At 42.2% G+C, this 18,289-nt stretch overlaps 1 protein-coding gene across 1 annotated transcript in view; it reads left to right on the forward strand.

Moving 5' to 3' along the window:
- Positions 1-18,289, forward strand: part of PRIM2 (DNA primase subunit 2) — a 425,311-nt gene that overhangs the window by 74,452 nt on the left and 332,570 nt on the right. The gene's annotated exons all lie outside the window — the stretch shown is intronic.

An 18,289-nucleotide genomic window follows, 5' to 3' on the forward strand; every position in this document is an offset into this window, starting at 1 on the left:
ACCATATCAATGTTTCATACATTCAATAAATAAAACCAACAGGATGGGTGGGGAGAGGGGACCTGAAATGGAATACTAACTATAACAAATGAACCTAACCATATTACGAATGAATAACAACCGCACTGAAGGGTGTGGAGAAGAAAAAGAACAAATCTCAATAACTCTGGAAAATAATATTTTCACTACATGCTGTATGGCTAAAAGACAAAAAGCTGTGCACAAATAGAAATGCACATGACTAAAACTGTATACAAAGAATTATATACAAATATTGTACTTTAGCTAGTAAGTTTATTTTTCACAGGGGTATGAAATGGCAATTCTGCATCTACTTTATATATATATATTATAGGATTGAGCAAACTAATTTAGATTTTAAAAGACAAAGAAGGTCTGTAAATAATTCCCGAGAGCCAGGGATCTCACTGTTGGAGAAAAAAAGTCAAAAATGAATAAATAAAAGGAAAGGGAGAAGGGTAGAATGAATCTTGTGATATATAAGCTATTAATTTGAACTACAAATTAAACTGTAAATTGTATGTATATATAGAGAGGGTGGTAGGGTGGTGTGATGATGGTGGTGGTAGCGGGGTTTGGTGGTGGTGGTAGTGGGTGGTGGTGGTGGTAGGGTGGTGGTAGGGGAGCAGTAGTGGTGGTGGTGTGTGCGTGTCTGTGCATACTTAGGATATGTTTCCTAAATCTGTATGCAGAGAGGGCCTGGAATCAACACTACTGTACCAACGAGCATGCCTAGCAACCAGGTCTAATTTCTAAATATCATTCTCTCATTAAAAAGAACCAGGGCTCTTTGGAAAGTGCTTGATACCAGGGCAGGGGAAAGAAATGTAAAAGATGGGTCTGTAACATTGTGTGGTGTTGAGAAGTAAGAAGGTGCTCAAAAACAGATGGGGACATGTTGACAGGATACAGGAGCCACCTGAGGGAACTCCCAGTAGTAAAATTGGGCATAATTTAAACAAAATAATACATAAGGAGAGTAATGGACCATACTCTATAGAATAAAATAAGTTTCCATGAGTTCACTGATACAAACAATTGAATAAATAATAAATAAATAAGTGGTGGAAGAGGGGAACATGCTCTCTTTTTTTTAACAGTAGAATTCTAATTCACAAATAGAGAAGAAGTGACGGAAATAGAAAAATATCGAGTGCAGTGGCTCACGCCTGTAATCCCAGCACTTTGGGAGGTTGAGGCGGGTGGATCACTTGAGGTCAGGAGTTTGAGACCAGCCTGGCTAACATGGCGAAACCCTGCCTCCACTAAAAATACAAAAATTAGCCGGGCATGGTGGCGGGTGCCTGTAATCCCAGCTACTCGGGAGGCTGAGGCAGGAGAATCGCTTGAACCTGGGAGGTGAAGGTTGCAGTGAGCCGAGATCAAGATTGTGTTACTGCACTTCAGCCTGGGTGACAGAGCAAGACTCTGTCTAAAAAAAAGGAAATAGAAAAATATCATTTGGCAAACATCACATTAATAATTGTTTCAATCAAGAATCACTAATGGCTACTAACATCATGCTAACACATGATGAGAAACAGGATATTTACATAGCCTTGAATATGTCCCCTCAAGATAGTCACAGATTATAAACGGAAAAATAGAAACTTTTCAGTGGAGAAACCTAGCAGATAGCATCTTAACCAAATGACAGAAGTTATCATTACCAGTAGTGAGATGTTCCAGCACCATATGTCTCCTAATACATGTACTGAGAAAGGCACAACATCTTCTCTTGGGAGGACATAATTCTGCCAAAAATGCACAGTCTGAATTTAATCATGAGGAAACATAGGCAGTCTACAGAATGACTGACTAGTAATCTTCAAAAATAGCAGGGACATGAAAGACAAAGCAAGGCTCAAGAACTATCCCAGACAAAGGAGACTGAGAAACCATGACGACTAAATGCAACGCGGGATCATGGATCAGAAAAAAAGACATCAGTGGGACAATGTCTTTGGGGATAGCTGAAGGTCGATAGGTAATTTTTGATGTTACTTCTCACTTTTTATACACCTGAAATTATTCTGAAGTGAAGAGTAATAAAAACTTTAGACATTTGGTCTGGTGCCGTGGCTCATGCCTGTAGTCCCAGCACTTTGGGAAGCCGAGGTGGGCAGATCAAGAGGTCAGGAGTTCGAGACCAGCAGGGCCAATGTGGCGAAACCCCGTCTCTACTAAAGATACAAAAAATTAACCGGGCATGGTGGCGGGCACCTGTAGTCCCAGCTACTCGGGAGGCTCAGGCAGGAGAATTGCTTGAACCCGGGAGGTGGAGGTTGCAGTGAGCCAAGATTGCGCCATTGCACTCCATCCTGGACCACAGGGTGAGACTCTGTCTCAAAACAAAACAAAACAACAACAAAAAATAAACTTTAGAAATTAGTTTTTTAAAAAAAACATCAATTCACAGACTGGTACACTGTGCTGAGGGAATGACGAGAACAAAGAGATGAGGAGTGGAAGCTTGGGAAGGCTGGGCACAGGTGGGGCCTTCGGGGGATGGCCCTGGGAAGCAGGGCTCGGGGCAGAAATGAAGGGGGTTGCATGTCACAATGGAGAGCAAAATTTTAACAGCTACAAAATTGGACCCTCATATAAAGTGGTGGATTCCCCTTCATTCCCCTCTCCCTCCATATTATGAGGAGGATTTTCTTCCTTTAAATAATAAAAATTATTATCTTACTAATTTATTTTCATTTGTGTAATATGACAAACCCAAAAGAATGTGCTGCTACATAATTTAAAATAACATAAAGAAAATGCATTTTAGAATGAAGCAGTTATAGGAGAAAACCAAACCTAAAACAAACACAATCTGAATCATTTTGATTCTGCATTCTCCTCTCTGCCGGCCTTGCTTTTCCTGCCTCCCCCACCCTATTCTCCCTTATTCCATCTGTCACCAAGCCCTGCCAATTATAACTTCACACTATTTCTTACACTAGGATTCAAATCTAAAGGCCTCAGGTTTCATCTTTCCTCTGTACTTACTAGCCCTACTACTGTGGACGATTCTCTCTGTGCCTGAATTTCTCTCTCTCTTTCTCTCTGTCTCTCTCTCTCTTTTTCTGTGTGTGTGTGTGTGTTTGAGGGGAAGGTAGGAGTCCAGTAAGATAATGCACATGCCCTTTATAAACAATAATCTATTATGAAATGCTAAGGTTTATTTGGGGCTTTAATGTGTATTATCTCGATGAGTGGTTTCCAAATTTTATGATTTTATGAAACTAAAAAGTTTGATTAACTGATAGAATTTTCAACTTGATAAAATAAAAAAAATCTCCTTACTATACCATTTCATATGAATAAAAGAAAGGACATTTTAACAAAAAAAGGACATATTCTCAGAAAAAAGGTCTTTCCCAACCTTGCATTGTGTTACATTTCTATACCCATGGTTCTTTCTTTTTCTCCTTTTAAGCAGACTGACCCTATGCCATCAATGGTTCTAGGGTCAGCATTTAGGAATTGTCCTGGACTAAAATGTCCGAAGTGATAACTTCCTGAGCTCCTTGTATCCAATCTTGCCTTCTTTTCCAGTCCACCCTATGCTCGGCATCCAACAATTTTTTGTTAAATGAATCAATGGACAGATACTCATTTTGAAACCAATGAAGAATTGAGCCTGATTATTTTGGAGTTAATTAAAGTGAGGAGATATAGGAGACAGATGAGCCAGCATATTCATACTTGGATATAGAGAGGAGAGCTGAGAATCTATTTACCACTTCTTTTCTCTTACATTTTCTGATTTACTGTTCAGTGATTTTACCTAAGTTGAGGGTGTGTCTTTAAAGTAGCAGAACCTTGCTGGAATAATAAATACATAAATGGAAGTGCTCCTCAGGGGCAGAGGGGTTTAATTTATTCTGCAGGCAGTGGAGGTGGTGGTTTAGCATATGAGTCTCTTTCTTTTGCCAAGCACCACTTGGCAAATCCACAGAAGGATTGACGTTCTTTGTCTGCTAAAACCTGGGGAGAGAGAAATGGAGCAGACACCCTCCCATGGGACCCCCCAACTTTTCATCGCTGTGTTTACTCTATACATCTATATGAAATTATTTACTGAAGGCTAAGGGTAATTTCAAAAATAACTTACAATATGGGAGGGACAAGTGTTGAAGTTTAAGCCCTCTTGGACTTTCCCTGCATCAGAAGCCAAGGCCTGCAGATGCATTGTCCATTTTGGACTTGGCTTTTCAGCCCTTATAGTTGCATCTGCACCTTATACTCCCTCTGTCCTCACAAGCACCTGGGGCTTCAAGTATCTTAGTCCAGGAACTTTAGCCCCTCTTGAGAACCTTCAGCTCCTCTGCATGAGAGCAGATCTAGAATAGAATAAACACCCTGGGCTTCAGCTCTGAGTGGGCAAGGATACTTGCTGTTCATTGCTGTCCTGTCTCGTGTGCCTGTATGAGCTCGTGTGTGTGTATGTGCGTGTGTGTGTGCACGCATGTGTACATGTTGAGGGATCTGAAAATCGGGTAGTGGATGGGCTCCAGACCCTTGAGTATGGTTTACTGTGTGCCTTCTAGTTTGAACTCAATCTTCCCATAGGTAAGAATGATGAGGCTGTTGGCTTCTTTATTAGTTGACTCAAATGACCACATTTTTCAAAGTTAGACATTAATTTTTCTTTAATAAATCATAGTTTAAACTTGGGTTGCTATTTTCTCTACTAGCGTAGTTCTGGTTTGGCCTTTAGAAACAACAGTCCCCGGCCGGGTGCAGTGGCTCACACCTGTAATCCCAGCACTTTGGGAGGCCGAGGCAGGCGGATCAAGAAGTACCTTTATTTCTTTATTAAAGCATCTTGATTCAAAAGGTTTCCCTCTTACCAAAAAGGGATAGGGAAAGTTGCCAGTTAAATTTTCCATCCTAATAGTAATGTTGCTGTGAGAGAAGGAGATTTTGGAGAAATAGGTAACTGATTTCAAACACATGATGCTTTAGGGCTATTTATTTATTTTTGCTTAAAGGTCTTTGTTGTAAAAACAGAAGTAAGATCTGACGGTCCTAAGAACAGGATGCCACTGCTTCCATACCTAGTGTGGATAGGACCTTTTTTCTTCTTTTATTATCCTTCCTACCTGTTGAAAGACTGTTGTCAGTCAGAGCTGAAACCCAGGTTGGCCCTGAGCTCAAATCATAGTCAAGTATGGTAGTCTTAAGAATGGGAGAGTCAGCTGGGTGTGGTGGGTTATGCCTGTTATCCCAGGACTTTGGGAGGTCACGGCGGGTAGATCACCTGAGGTCGGGAGTTTGAGACCAGCGTGACCAACATGGAGAAACCCCATCTCTATTAAAAATACAAAATTAGCTGGGCGTGGTGGCCCATGCCTGTAATCCCAGCTACTCGGTAGGCTGCGGCAGGAGAATTGCTTGAACCCAGGAGGCGGAGGTTGCGGTGAGCCAAGATCACACCATTGCACTCCAGCCTGGGCAGCAAGAGCAAAATTCCATCTCAAAAACAAACAAACAAACAAAAGAATAGGAGAGTCTGGGTGCAGTGGCTCACGCCTGTAATCTCAGCACTTTGGGAGGCCAAGGCAGGCGGATCACTTGAGGTCAGGAGTTTGAGACCAGCCTGGCCAACATGGTGAAACCCCATCTCTACCAAAAATACACACGCACACAAAAAACGAATTAGCAAGGCATGGTGGTGCATGCCTGTAATGCTAGCTACTTGGTGGCTGGTGGCTGAGCGTGAGAATCACTTGAAGCTGGGAGGTTGAGGTTGCAGTAAGCCAAGATTGTTCTACTGCACTCTAGCCTGGGCGACAGGGCAAGACTCTGTCTCAATAACAACAACAGAAAAAGAATGGGAGAAATATACCTAACAATAAACCTGCAGATTATTAATTCTATGAGTGTTGAAGTCAAGAATGAGTTCAGACTGAATGTGATGTAACTCTGGTTCTGCTTTTCTTTGCTTTCTCCATGGCACTTATTCAGGATAGGCACTTCAGAAGACATTCCTATTTACTGGCTGGGAGGCCAAAAGCTAAGACAGAACTTTCAGTCTCACTCTTAGGGGTCACAAAATTATTGCTTTCCAATTTAAACTGTTTCACTTCCAAATTTGAGCCCCCAAATATGAAATACTGCCTCACCTGTGCCTTTTATGCTGAAAATATAAAATATTTTAGGAAAAGAAACACATTTTAAATATTAATATCTGCTAAGTAATTTTGTTATTAATTTAGTTTTTGAGCAGAGTTACATTTGAAAAAATATATAAAAGTTTGAATATGGATAGAGAGATAGATAGAGTCATTCCAGGTTATTTAACTGTTGACTCTTTAAGTGCTGCATTTAAGTACATACTTGAATCATTGGAAGGCATTTTTGACTTTTCAGTGTTTTCCCCAGCACTTTTCCATGGGTTTAACTGAGTGCTGGGTTGTTGAGTCTTAAATTGTACATTAAAAATTAGGTGTCCAACAAATATAAGAAAATTATGTGGTTATCCACTTATGGTTAAGAAATAAATATATAAAATGTCATCACTAAGACATTTTATGTATTTAGCCTCTAGCCTCTCAAAGGCATAACTACTAAAGCATATTTTTCTGCCTTAATATTTTGTAACTCCATTAGGGTTAATGGATGTTCTAAACAACCTTAAGCTATTTGGAAGAGTGCCTTATATAACAATGTTGTTTATCTTCCACAGAATAAACACTCGAAAGGCCTAGTACTTCTCTCCCTAAGCCAGTGCATTCTGGAAAGAACTCAGTCATAAGAGTCCATTATTCAAATAAAATGACTGTTGAAGCAGAAAGTAATAACTGATTTTTTAAAGAAGATCGTTTTCTAAGATTTCTAAAATTGTCAAAAACCATTTTAAGTTACTGCAGGTGCATTTATTCTATGAGTTGTGTTATAAATCAAAAGATTTCCTATTAACCTATTTTAGGAATAGACTTGTAATTCTCAAACTTGAGTAATGTAATGTAAAAAAGCCCTTAAAAGGAAGAAAATATTTAGATTATTAGAATACCCAGAGTTGATGTATATGATTTTTATGTCATTGTTATTGCTATGTCTTTCTATGTTTATAGCTAATATGTCCACGTAAAAGCTAAGTTTGTATATATTTATAGCTAAGATATCCACATAAAAGCCAAATACATTTACATATTAAATACAAGCCAAATGATAAAAACTAATATAATTAAAATTGACAACATTAATTTGCTAGATGATGCTTTGCTGAAATTGAAGAGCATATGTTGAGGTTAATGATAGGAAGATTTAGTCACTTACTTTTTTACATGATTTTTTTTTTAGTGCAATAGATTATCATGTGAATCACTGTCATCATATTTATTTATATTTTAAAAATGATTTTGTTTTTATCCACTACAATTTATTGGTGGGCCAATTTAATTGTTCACTCCAAAATGCAAGAGAGAAAATCTGACTGGAAAATCCTTCATTGTATATTTATTTTAATAGATACTACTTGCATACTGTTGTAATTTGGCACATACAGAGACAGAATCAGAACAATACTTCCACTTGTGATACCAGTAAAGCACTGGCTGGATAACCAGGGCAGCCTCACTTATGTCTTTTTCAATTAATTAATTAATTAATTACTTTTTTTGAGATGAATTCTCCCTCTGTTGCCCAGGCTGGAGTGCAGTGGCACCATCTCGGCTCACTGCAAACTCTGCCTCCCTGGTTCAAATGATTCTCCTGCCTCAGCCTCCCAAGTAGCTGTGATTACAGGCACCCGCCACCATGCCCAGCTAGTTTTGTTTGTTTGTTTCTGTTTTTGTATTTTTAGTAAAGATGGGGTTTCACCATGGTGGCCAGGCTGGTCTCGAACTCGTGACCTCAAGTGGTCTGCCTGCCTAGGCCTCCCAAAGTGCTGGGATTACAAGCCTGAGCCTTTGCACCCCGCCCACTTCTGTCTTTATAATTGTTGGGGGAAAAACATCCAAATTGAAAGCAATAATGATGCAGGATGATGGTTGATATTTTTACTTTATAACCCACAATCTTTGATCAGCTAGCTATCTATGCTTACCAGTACATTTTAAGGCAAGCTGTGTCATTTCAGATGCTCATATGTGTCACCAATCCCATTGGGGTCACATGAGAGGCTGGCATATGGTACAATTTGAAAATAACACAGTCATCCAGACAACCCAGGATATGCTTTTTATGAAACTTATAAAAATGGATGGAAAAAAATGGAAAAAATAAAAAGGAAATTATAATAAAATGAAGGGACCCCAGAGAATCAATTGGTTGCAGAAATCCTGGGTTAAATCATACAAATGAAATTGCTTTGAAAACTGTAGCATGCTTTACAAGTGCCAATACTGTATTATTATGAAACAAATATAATTGGAAAGATCTGGACTTACTAGACAATAAAAAAGATTGGATTAACTCTACATGCAGACAGAAAATTCCCACAGTGAAGGTCATTAATCAGAGTTTGTAGAAAAACAGCTGCTCCTGCCATTCCACTGGAGAAAGCACAAAACAACATAATTGCTTCATAACTGTACTCTGGGGAAGACTGACCTTGGTTCTAAGAGTTGCTTGTGTGGCCTGGTTCTGTGTGTGGGTTAGGTGAGGAGGAGGAGGTGTTGAGTGGGGAGGGGAAAGGACCCCTTCCCTCTGAAAGAAACTGAAGCATTTGATCTGGGGCTGTTCCCTGGGGCATTGTGGGGCAGAGACCCCTGGAAAGAAAGCAGTAGGTGAGATGCCTAGGTGAGAAGTAGAAGTAGATGAGAAGTCTAGGGTGGAGTCCCAAGTACATACTCGACTACTCCTAGGGCACTGACCCTAAAATAATTAACCTCGTAGGAAAAAATCATGTTCCCTATAGAAACATAAAGTTTTTACTACTTGGCCCCTAAGTGATAGATTATATGTTGTTGCTCAAAGAGAAGAAAATGCAGATGAAGTAATTCCACATGCATCAGGAAAGTCCCTTTCCTCTCTGTACTCAAGATAGCTCTCAACATTGATCTTCAAGTATTGATTAGTCAGAGAAAGGAAGATTTATTATTATTCTCTAATTTCCACTTTCTGAAATGTTAATATTGTTTTCTTACTGAGAATGTGAACTTTTGGATGTGATTATCAGCTAATCCAGTTGGAATTCAATCTTGGCATTATAACAGGATCATATTTACAACCTACTTCAGTTTCCAAAAATCAGCCAACTGAGAGAAAATATTGTGATCAGGAATTTCAATGGGAAAGCCAAAATCTAGAGTGAAAACACATCTTCTGTGAAGGATTACATCATAAAGTGTATGCGAGCCTATCTGGAATTAGGGATAAGTACAGAGAAGTTCAGTTCAGTTCAGCCGACAGCTTTGGAGTGTCTGGTCTATGTCAGGGACTATGGTAGAGGCAGGGGTGCAGAAATGGGCAAGATAGTCTGCTTGGTCTCAAGGAGCTCATGATCAAATAATCAGTCTCATGTTAAAAACTGAAATATTCAGAATCGTTTCAGCTCAAACAGAGAGCAACTGATGTTGCCAGGATCGAGATGGATTCATGTGAAATAACTACGTCATTTTAGAACAGAACATTGAAAAGTGCCATCAATTATAGAGCATAAAGTGAAATTGTAATTGAAAGTAGTTTCTTTGTTACTTAGATTCTTTTATTAGGCTCCTTTGTTCAAATCAATTCTTTCTTTTAAACACAAATAAGATGATTCTGGGTAGATGGATCTTCAAGTAGATTTTAGTCCAGCTTAAATTTAAATAGGGAAAGAACAATCAGGGATATTCTACTAAATTGTTAGGCACCGAATTGTGTTATGTTCTTACTAAAAATAGGTATTTCTTATAATCTTCAGATGCTCTAAGCTGGCATGAATAACTAGTACTGTAATAAAATAAGTTCTGCCAAAAAGTTAATCTGACACACAGCAATGAAATGCCTAAAGCTGTGTGTCATAGAGTCATTATCCATAAATGATAAATGATGCTCATAAATACCAGTATTGAAAATTATTTCCCCATGGCTAAACCAAGGTCAGATTTTTTTCTTGCACTCTTTTTTAGTCCTCTATATCCATAGATAGCACCCAAGAGTGAACAGTTTTGCTGAATACTATGTTCAGGGTGAGATTCATTTCACTTCGTACCCCCACTAACCTCACTTACCATATGGATAAACTTGAAGCAAAGATATTGGATTAAACCCCATATGGTTCCTATCCTGTGTGTCTCTTCCTTCCATCCCAGGGCCAGACTCAGCTCCAAACTATGGTACCCAAGTGAGAGGGCCAGACTAGTGCATCCAAATGCTTCCCACTACCATCTCTCAGATGCATCTAGGATGTTGTGAAGCTCCAGGTAGGATGAATTCTGTCTGGGAGGTTCAGGTGACTCCCGACCATGTCATTATAGCAAGAGACGAAATTCACTGTCAAGTTATGGTAAGAACTTAGGTGAGGGTGCTGACTCAGTAAAAAGGACCTTTGCATCCTGGCACCAGAGAGATTCAGAGACAAGGGAGACAGATAAGGAAGAGGAACTGTATTGTCAGGGTTCGCTCCCTTCCCAGATCTATGCACAGGAGTGTCAGGGGACCTAACAAGTATATTTGCTGTGGAGGAAACTTCCCCACTGAGCCATCAGCAGTCCGCGTCCTGAAACCTCAGCCTCTATTACAATATTAGATCTGTCTTGGGTCTAATAGGGAGAGAAAAGAGAGGGCCAAAGGTCCCCACCTGTGCATCTTCTTTCTTCTCCCCAGAGTTAACCACTATCTTGAATTTGATCATTTCCCACTGACAGTATGTACTCCAGTATGTATTATTCCACTTTCAAAAAAACTTTTATAAAAATGCTGAATAGTACCAGTCATGGTTCAACAAGGAACAGATGGCATACTCAAAATAGGCTAATTTGGCCAGGCGTAGTGGCTCATGCCTGTAATCCCAGCACTTTGGGAGACCAAGGCAGGTGGATCACGAGGTCAGGAGTTCGAGACCAGCCTAGCCAACATGGTGAAACCCTCTCTCTACTAAAAATACAAAAATTAGCTTGGCGTGGTGGCATGTGCCTGTAGTCCCAGCTACTCGGGAAGCTGAGGCAGGAGAATCACTTGAACTCAGGAGGCACAGGTTGCAGTGAGCCGAGATCAAGATTGTGTTACTGCATTCCAATCTTTCCAGTCTGGGTGACAGAACAAGATTCTGTCTCAAAAAATAAAAAAAAAATAAAAAAATAAATGCTAATTCAAGGATGGTTTTTTTTTTTGGAGACGGAGTCTTGCTCTGTTGCCCAGGCTGGAGTGCAGTGGCACAATCTCGGCTCACTGCAAGCTCTGCTTCCTGGGTTCACGCCATTCTCCTGCCTCAGCCTCCTGAGTAGCTGGGACTATAGGCACCCGCCACCACACCTGGCTAATTTTTTGTATTTTTAGTAGAGATGGGGTTTCACCGTGGTCTCGATCTGACCTCATGATCCGCCCACCTCGGCCTCCCAAAGTGCTGGGATTACAGGCGTGAGCCACTGCGCCTGGCCAAGGATGGTTTTTTTTGCAGAGATTATTTACAAAGGTGTGGGAGTAGGGAACCACAATGGATAGATAGGGCAATTAATCAGGGCTTACTCGAAGTCAATATGTTACTGTCTCTAGGTCTGAAAGGTAGAGGAAAAGGAGCTGTTACCAGACCCAAAGTGAGAGGGTCCTTTAGAGTCTGTTGCCACCTTGAGAGAAGCAATGACAGGTTGAGGGACACAGGTGGCCTTGCAGGGAGGGGATAAATACATTGATCTCACTTTCTTCTCTTCTTCCTATTTCCTTTTGGGGCTTTTAATTGACCTAACCTAACTGGAAGCAGAAAGCACAGAAATCTGTTTATATGGTCCATTCATTTAAGAACACAGAGCAGGGGAGGGGGCTAGAGTGGTTTTAGGTGATGGGGTGGGAAAAGGAAAATATCCAGCATATACAGTATTGTCCTATGACTTGCTTTTTTAGTTAACATTATATTTATGTGATTCATCCATGTCGATATGCTTACTGTAATTGTAGTAGTTCATTCATTTTTCACTTAAAAAATTCCATTGTATGAATACACCAGAATTTATTTATCTATTTCTTTTTCTTTTTTTCTCTCTTTTTTTTTTTGAGACAAGGTCTTGCTGTGTCTCCCAGCAGGAGTGCAGTGGCAGGATCATGGCTCATGGCAGCCTCCCAGCCTCAGGTGATCCTCCCACCTCAGCCCCCAGAGTAGCTGGGACTACAGGCTCGTGCCACCATATCTGGCTAATTTTTGTATTTTTTGTAGAGGCAGGGTTTCACCGTGTTGCTCAGGCTGGTCTCAAACTCCTGGGCTCCAGTGTTCCACCCTCCTCAGCCTCCCATAGTGTTGGGATTACAGGTGTGAGCCACTGTGCCTGGCCCAGTTTATCCATTTCTGATGATGGATGGTTTCCAGTGTTTGAGTATTTTGATATTGCCACGAATGTTCTTGTTCATGTTTTTTGATGTCTACGCTCAAAACTTTCTCTAGAGAATATACCTAGACTAGAATCACATAGTGGGATAAAGAGTCATATGTTTTCAAATTTACCAGGTAATGCCACATTTTTCAAAGTAGTTGTATCAATTAACAGTTTTACTTATAGTACACGAGTTCCTAGTCAACACGCAATATTTTCAAACTTTGAAACTTTTGTCCATCTGGCACCTGTAGAATATTATCTCATTGTGGTTTTAATTTGCATTTCTTCAATTACTAATGTAATTAAACATATTTACATATGTTTATTTATCATTTACATTTCCTTCATTGTGAAATACTTGTTCAGGTTCCCTTTCTCTTTTCTACTGTTTATTTTATTTTATTTTTCTTTTTTTTAATTTTACTTTAAGTTCTGAGATACATGTGCAGAATGTGCAGTTTTTTTGTTTGTTTATTTTTTTTTTTAGTATTTATTGATCATTCTTGGGTGTTTCTCAGAGAGGGGGATGTGGCAGGGTCATAGGATAATAGTGGAGAGAAGGTCAGCAGATAAACACGAGAACAAAGGTCTCTGGTTTTCCTAGGCAGAGGTCCCTGCGGCCTTCGGCCCTGTTTGTGTCCCTGGGTACTTGAGATTAGGGAGTGGTGATGACTCTTTTTTTTTTTTTATTATACTTTAAGTTTTAGGGTACATGTACACATTGTGCAGGTTAGTTACATATGTATACATGTGCCATGCTGGTGCACTGCACCCACTAACTCGTCATCTAGCATTAGGTATATCTCCCAATGCTATCCCTCCCCCCTCCCCCCACCCCACCACAGTCCCCAGAGTGTGATATTCCCCTTCCTGTGTCCATGTGATCTCATTGTTCAATTCCCACCTATGAGTGAGAATATGCGGTGTTTGGTTTTTTGTTCTTGCAATAGTTTACTGAGAATGATGATTTCCAATTTCATCCATATCCCTACAAAGGACATGAACTCATCATTTTTTATGGCTGCATAGTATTCCATGGTGTATATGTGCCACATTTTCTTAATCCAGTCTATCACACATTTTCTTAATCCAGTCTATCATTGTTGGACATTTGGGTTGGTTCCAAGTCTTTGCTATTGTGAATAATGCTGCAATAAACATACGTGTGCATGTGTCTTTACAGCAGCATGATTTATAGTCCTTTGGGTATATACCCAGTAATGGGATGGCTGGGTCAAATGGTATTTCTAGTTCTAGATCCCTGAGGAATCGCCACACTGACTTCCACAATGGTTGAACTAGTTTACAGTCCCACTAACAGTGTAAAAGTGTTCCTATTTCTCCACATCCTCTCTAGCACCTGTTGTTTCCTGACTTTTTAATGATTGCCATTCTAACTGGTGTGAGATGGTATCTCATTATGGACTTCACGTCCAAAACACCAAAAGCAATGGCAACAAAAGACAAAATTGACAAATGGGATCTAATTAAACTAAAGAGCTTCTGCATAGCAAAAGAAACTACCATCAGAGTGAACAGGCAACCTACAAAATGGGAGAAAATTTTCGCAACCTACTCATCTGACAAAGGGCTAATATCCAGAATCTACAATGAACTCAAACAAATTTACAAGAAAAAAACAAACAACCCCATCAAAAAGTGGGCAAAGGACATGAACAGACACTTCTCAAAAGAAGACATTTATGCAGCCAAAAAACACATGAAAAAATGCTCATCATCACTGGTCATCAGAGAAATGCAAATCAAAACCACAATGTGGTGATGACTCTTAACAAGCATGCTGCCTTCAAGCATCTGTTTAACAAAGCACATCTTGCACCGCCCTTAATCCATTTAACCCTGAGTTGACACAGCACATGTTTCAGAGAGCAGGGGGTTGAGGGTAAGGTTATAGATTAACAGCATCCCAAGGCAGAAGAATTTTTCTTAGTACAGAACAAAATGGAGTCTCCTATGTCTACTTCTTTCTACACAGACACGGTAACAATCTGATCTCTCTTTCTTTTCCCCGCATTTCTCCCTTTTCTTTTCGACAAAACCACCATCGTCATCATGGCCCGTTCTGGATGATTGCTGTCTCTTTGGAGCTGTTGGGTACACTTCCCAGATGGGGCGGCCGGGCAGAGGCGTTCCTCACATCCCAGACGGGGTGGCGGCCGGGCAGAGGCGCTCCTCACCTCCCAGACGGGGCGGCCAGGCAGAGACACCCCTCACCTCCCAGATGGGGTGGCCGGGCAGAGGCGCCCACTTCCCAGACGGGGTGGCCAGGCAGAGGCGCTCCCCACCTCCCAGACAAAGAGCGGCCAGGCAGAGGCGCCCCTCACTTTCCAGGCAGGGCAGCCGGGCAGAGACTCCCCTCACCTCCCAGACAGGGCAGCAGCTGGGCAGAGGCGCTCCTCACTTCCCAGACGGGGTGGCGGCCGGGCAGAGACACCCCTCGCCTCCCAAACGGGGAGGGGCCGGGCAGAGGCGCTCCCCACCTCCCAGACGAAGGGCGGCCGGGCAGAGACGCCCCTCACTTCCTAGTCTAGGCGGCCGGGCAGAGACACCCGTCACCTCCCAGACAGGGTGGCGGCCGGGCAGAGGTGCCCCTCACTTCCCAGACGGGGTGGTGGCCGGGCAGAGATGCCCCTCACCTCCCAGACGGGGCGGCCGTGCAGAGGCGCCCCTCACCTCCCGGACGGGGCGGCCGGGCAGAGGCGCCCCTCACCTCCCAGACGGGGCGGCCGGGCAGAGGCGCTCCTCACCTCCCGGACGGGGCATCCGGGCAGAGGCGCTCCTCACTTCCCAGACGGGGCGGCCGGGCAGAGGCGCTCCTCACTTTCCATTCAGGGCAACCAGGCAGAGGCGCTCCTCACTTCCTCCCAGACGGGGCGGCGGGGCAGAGGCACTCCTCACTTCCCAGAGGGGGCGGCCAGGCAGAGGTGCTCTTCACTTCCCATTCGGGGCAGCCGGGCAGAGGTGCTCCTCACTTCCTCCCAGACTGGGCGGCCGGGCAGAGGCGCTTCTCACGTCCCAGACAATGGGCGGCCAGGCAGAGACGTTCCTCACTTCCTAGAGGGGGCGGCGGGGCAGAGGGGCTCCTTACATCCCAGACGATGGGTGGCCAGGCAGAGACGCTGCTCACTTCCTAGACGGGGTGACCGGCGGGCAGAGGCTGTAATCTTAGCATTTTGGGAGGCCAAGGCAGGCCGCTGGGAGGTGGAAGTTGTAGCGAGCCGAGATCAAGCCACTGCACTCCAGCCTGGGCAACATTGAGCATTGAGTGAGCGAGACTCCGTCTGCAATCCCAGCACCTCGGGAGGCGGAGGCGGGCAGATCATCCGAGGCCAGGAGCTGGAGACCAGCCCGGTCAACACGGCGAAACCCCGTCTCCACCAAAAATACAAAAACCAGTCAGGAGTGGCGGCGCGTGCCTGGCAGGCCGAGGCGGGAGAATCACCGGAGCCCGAGGCAGGGAGGTTGCAGCGAGCCGAGATCATGGCGGTACAGTCCAGGCTCCGCAAGAAAGGGAGACCGTAGAAAGGGGAGAGGGGAGAGGGGAGACGGGAGAGGGGAGAGGGGAGAGGGGAGAGGGGAGAGGGGGGAGAGGGCTTTTCTACTGTTTTTTATTTTTTTCTTATTATCTTGATACTAACAATGACCCTGTGTTAATTTTATCATCTCGCAATTTGTGGATATCTAAAAAACTGTGTATTTATGTACTTTAAAAAGTTTTATGTACTTTTAAAAAGGTCAAGTGTGGTGGCTTATGCCTGTAATCTTAGCACTTTGGGAGGCCGAGGCAGGAGGATTGCTTGAGTCCAGAAGTTCAAGACCAGCCTGAGCAACATAGTGCAGCCCCATCTCTACAAAAAAATTTAAAAATCAGCCAGTCTTGGTGGCATGTGCCTGCAGTCCTAGCTATTTGGGAGGCTCAGCTGGGAGGATCGCTTGAGTCCAGGAGGTGGAGGCTGCAGTGGGCAGTGATAGCATCACTGCACTCCAGCCTGGGCAACAGGAAACCCTGTCTTGAAAAAACAAATGAACAGAAACTCCCTCCCCATGCAAAATCCCTTAAGTTCTTAATTTAATGTAGTTAAAATGATCAATCTTTCTCTTTTTAGCTTGTTTTTTTAAAAAAAGTTTAAAATATACATAACACAAAATTTACCATTTTAACCATTTGTAAGTGTACAGTTCAGTGGCATTAACTACGTTCACATTATTGTGCAACTATCACCATTATCCATCTCCAGAACTGCTTATGCTTTTTCTTAATGTCTTGTTAAATAAATTCTTTGGACCATCAAGACCATAAAGACCGTCTATATATTTGTTTTAAATTCTTAAAATTTTGCCTTTCATATACAAGTTCTTAAATCATCTGGAATTGATTTTTTATATAGTAGGAGGTAGGGAATACATTTTTCCTCCCTATAGACAGCCAATTGTCCCAGCACCATTTAGAATTGTCTATTTTTTTCTTCCATTGATTTGTACGGTGGATCTGTCATATACTAAGTTTCCTCATAGGTGTGGGACCATGTTTGGGTTTTCTATTCTGTTCCATTGATTGATGACTTTATTCTTGTACCAATATTGTAATGTCTTAAATACTAATGAATTAAGATTAGCCTTCCATCTGCCTGAAATGCTATTCTCCTAAAGATAGACATGACTAAATCCCAAGTTTTCTTCTGGTCTCTGTTTCATGGCCACATTCTTAGCCAGCCTTTCCTGGCTATCTTTTCTAAAATTTCATTATCTCCTTGAAAAACTTTACATTCTTCTTTTCTGATTAATTTCTTTCTGTTTAGTAGTTGTTATCTAACATAATTATTTATGTCTTTAACTTGTTTATTGTCTCTCTTCCCCATTAGAAGATTTATAAGAGCAGGATTTTTTGGCTCTCTCATCATTCTCATATCCCCAGCATAGAAAATGTTGCCTGGCACTTAGTAAGTGTTTAATTACTATTTCTGGAACACACCAAATAATGCTGATATATGGAAGGGTAGTGTTTCTTCACCGTGCTACCATTAAGAATGTGCTTTCTGTCAGTTCTCCTGCTCCTTGATTTTGACTAATAAAGCAATCTAAAGCAAATGGAGAGAGAATGAAGTGCTTTCTTTAGGTTGTTTCCCAGCCAACTCCGAGAGGTAGGCAGTGAAATGGGGAGGGTGGAGGGCCAGAGGTTGGCTAACTCTGCATTAGCTTTTATGGGTCAGCTATCTTGCTGGAAATACCTCATGTTCTCTGCTTTTCATGGCAAACACAGCTGGTAGGACCTAGAATTTACAGCATGCTTACTCAGTAAAGAAGCTTACCACGCCTTTGGTTTTCAGGGCGACACACCCCGCTCAGAAGAGGAATGAACACTCACTTAGATTTACCAAGCATGGCAACTAAATTCTCAGCTGTAAGTGTGACACTTTTTGGGATAGAAGTTCTGGAGCTGTGGAGGAGTTATCTCAGGGTGAATGCCACGTGGGGCAGTCTGTCTGTAGCTGGGTAATGCCCAAGGCAGGCACTGAATTGAGCAGTGATGATTCATGGAAATTCTGCCAGAGAAGGTACTCTGTGCTTTATTACAGGCTAAACTAGGAAGCCAACTCATTCTGGAAGGAATGTGTATAATGTTTTCAGATGAGGACTTGAAGTTTTATAGGTTGGAGTCACATTTGATTCAAACCATCTGTTTAATGGGAAGCTGAACCCAGCATTTTTTTTCATATGTCTCTCACAGTATTCAACAATTCAGTATGGGCTGGGCGCAGTGGCTCACGCCTATAATCCCAGCACTTAGGGAGGCC

The sequence above is a fragment of the Homo sapiens genome, chromosome 6 (genome assembly GCF_000001405.40).
Source record: "Homo sapiens chromosome 6, GRCh38.p14 Primary Assembly".
NCBI classification, from domain to species: domain Eukaryota; kingdom Metazoa; phylum Chordata; class Mammalia; order Primates; family Hominidae; genus Homo; species Homo sapiens.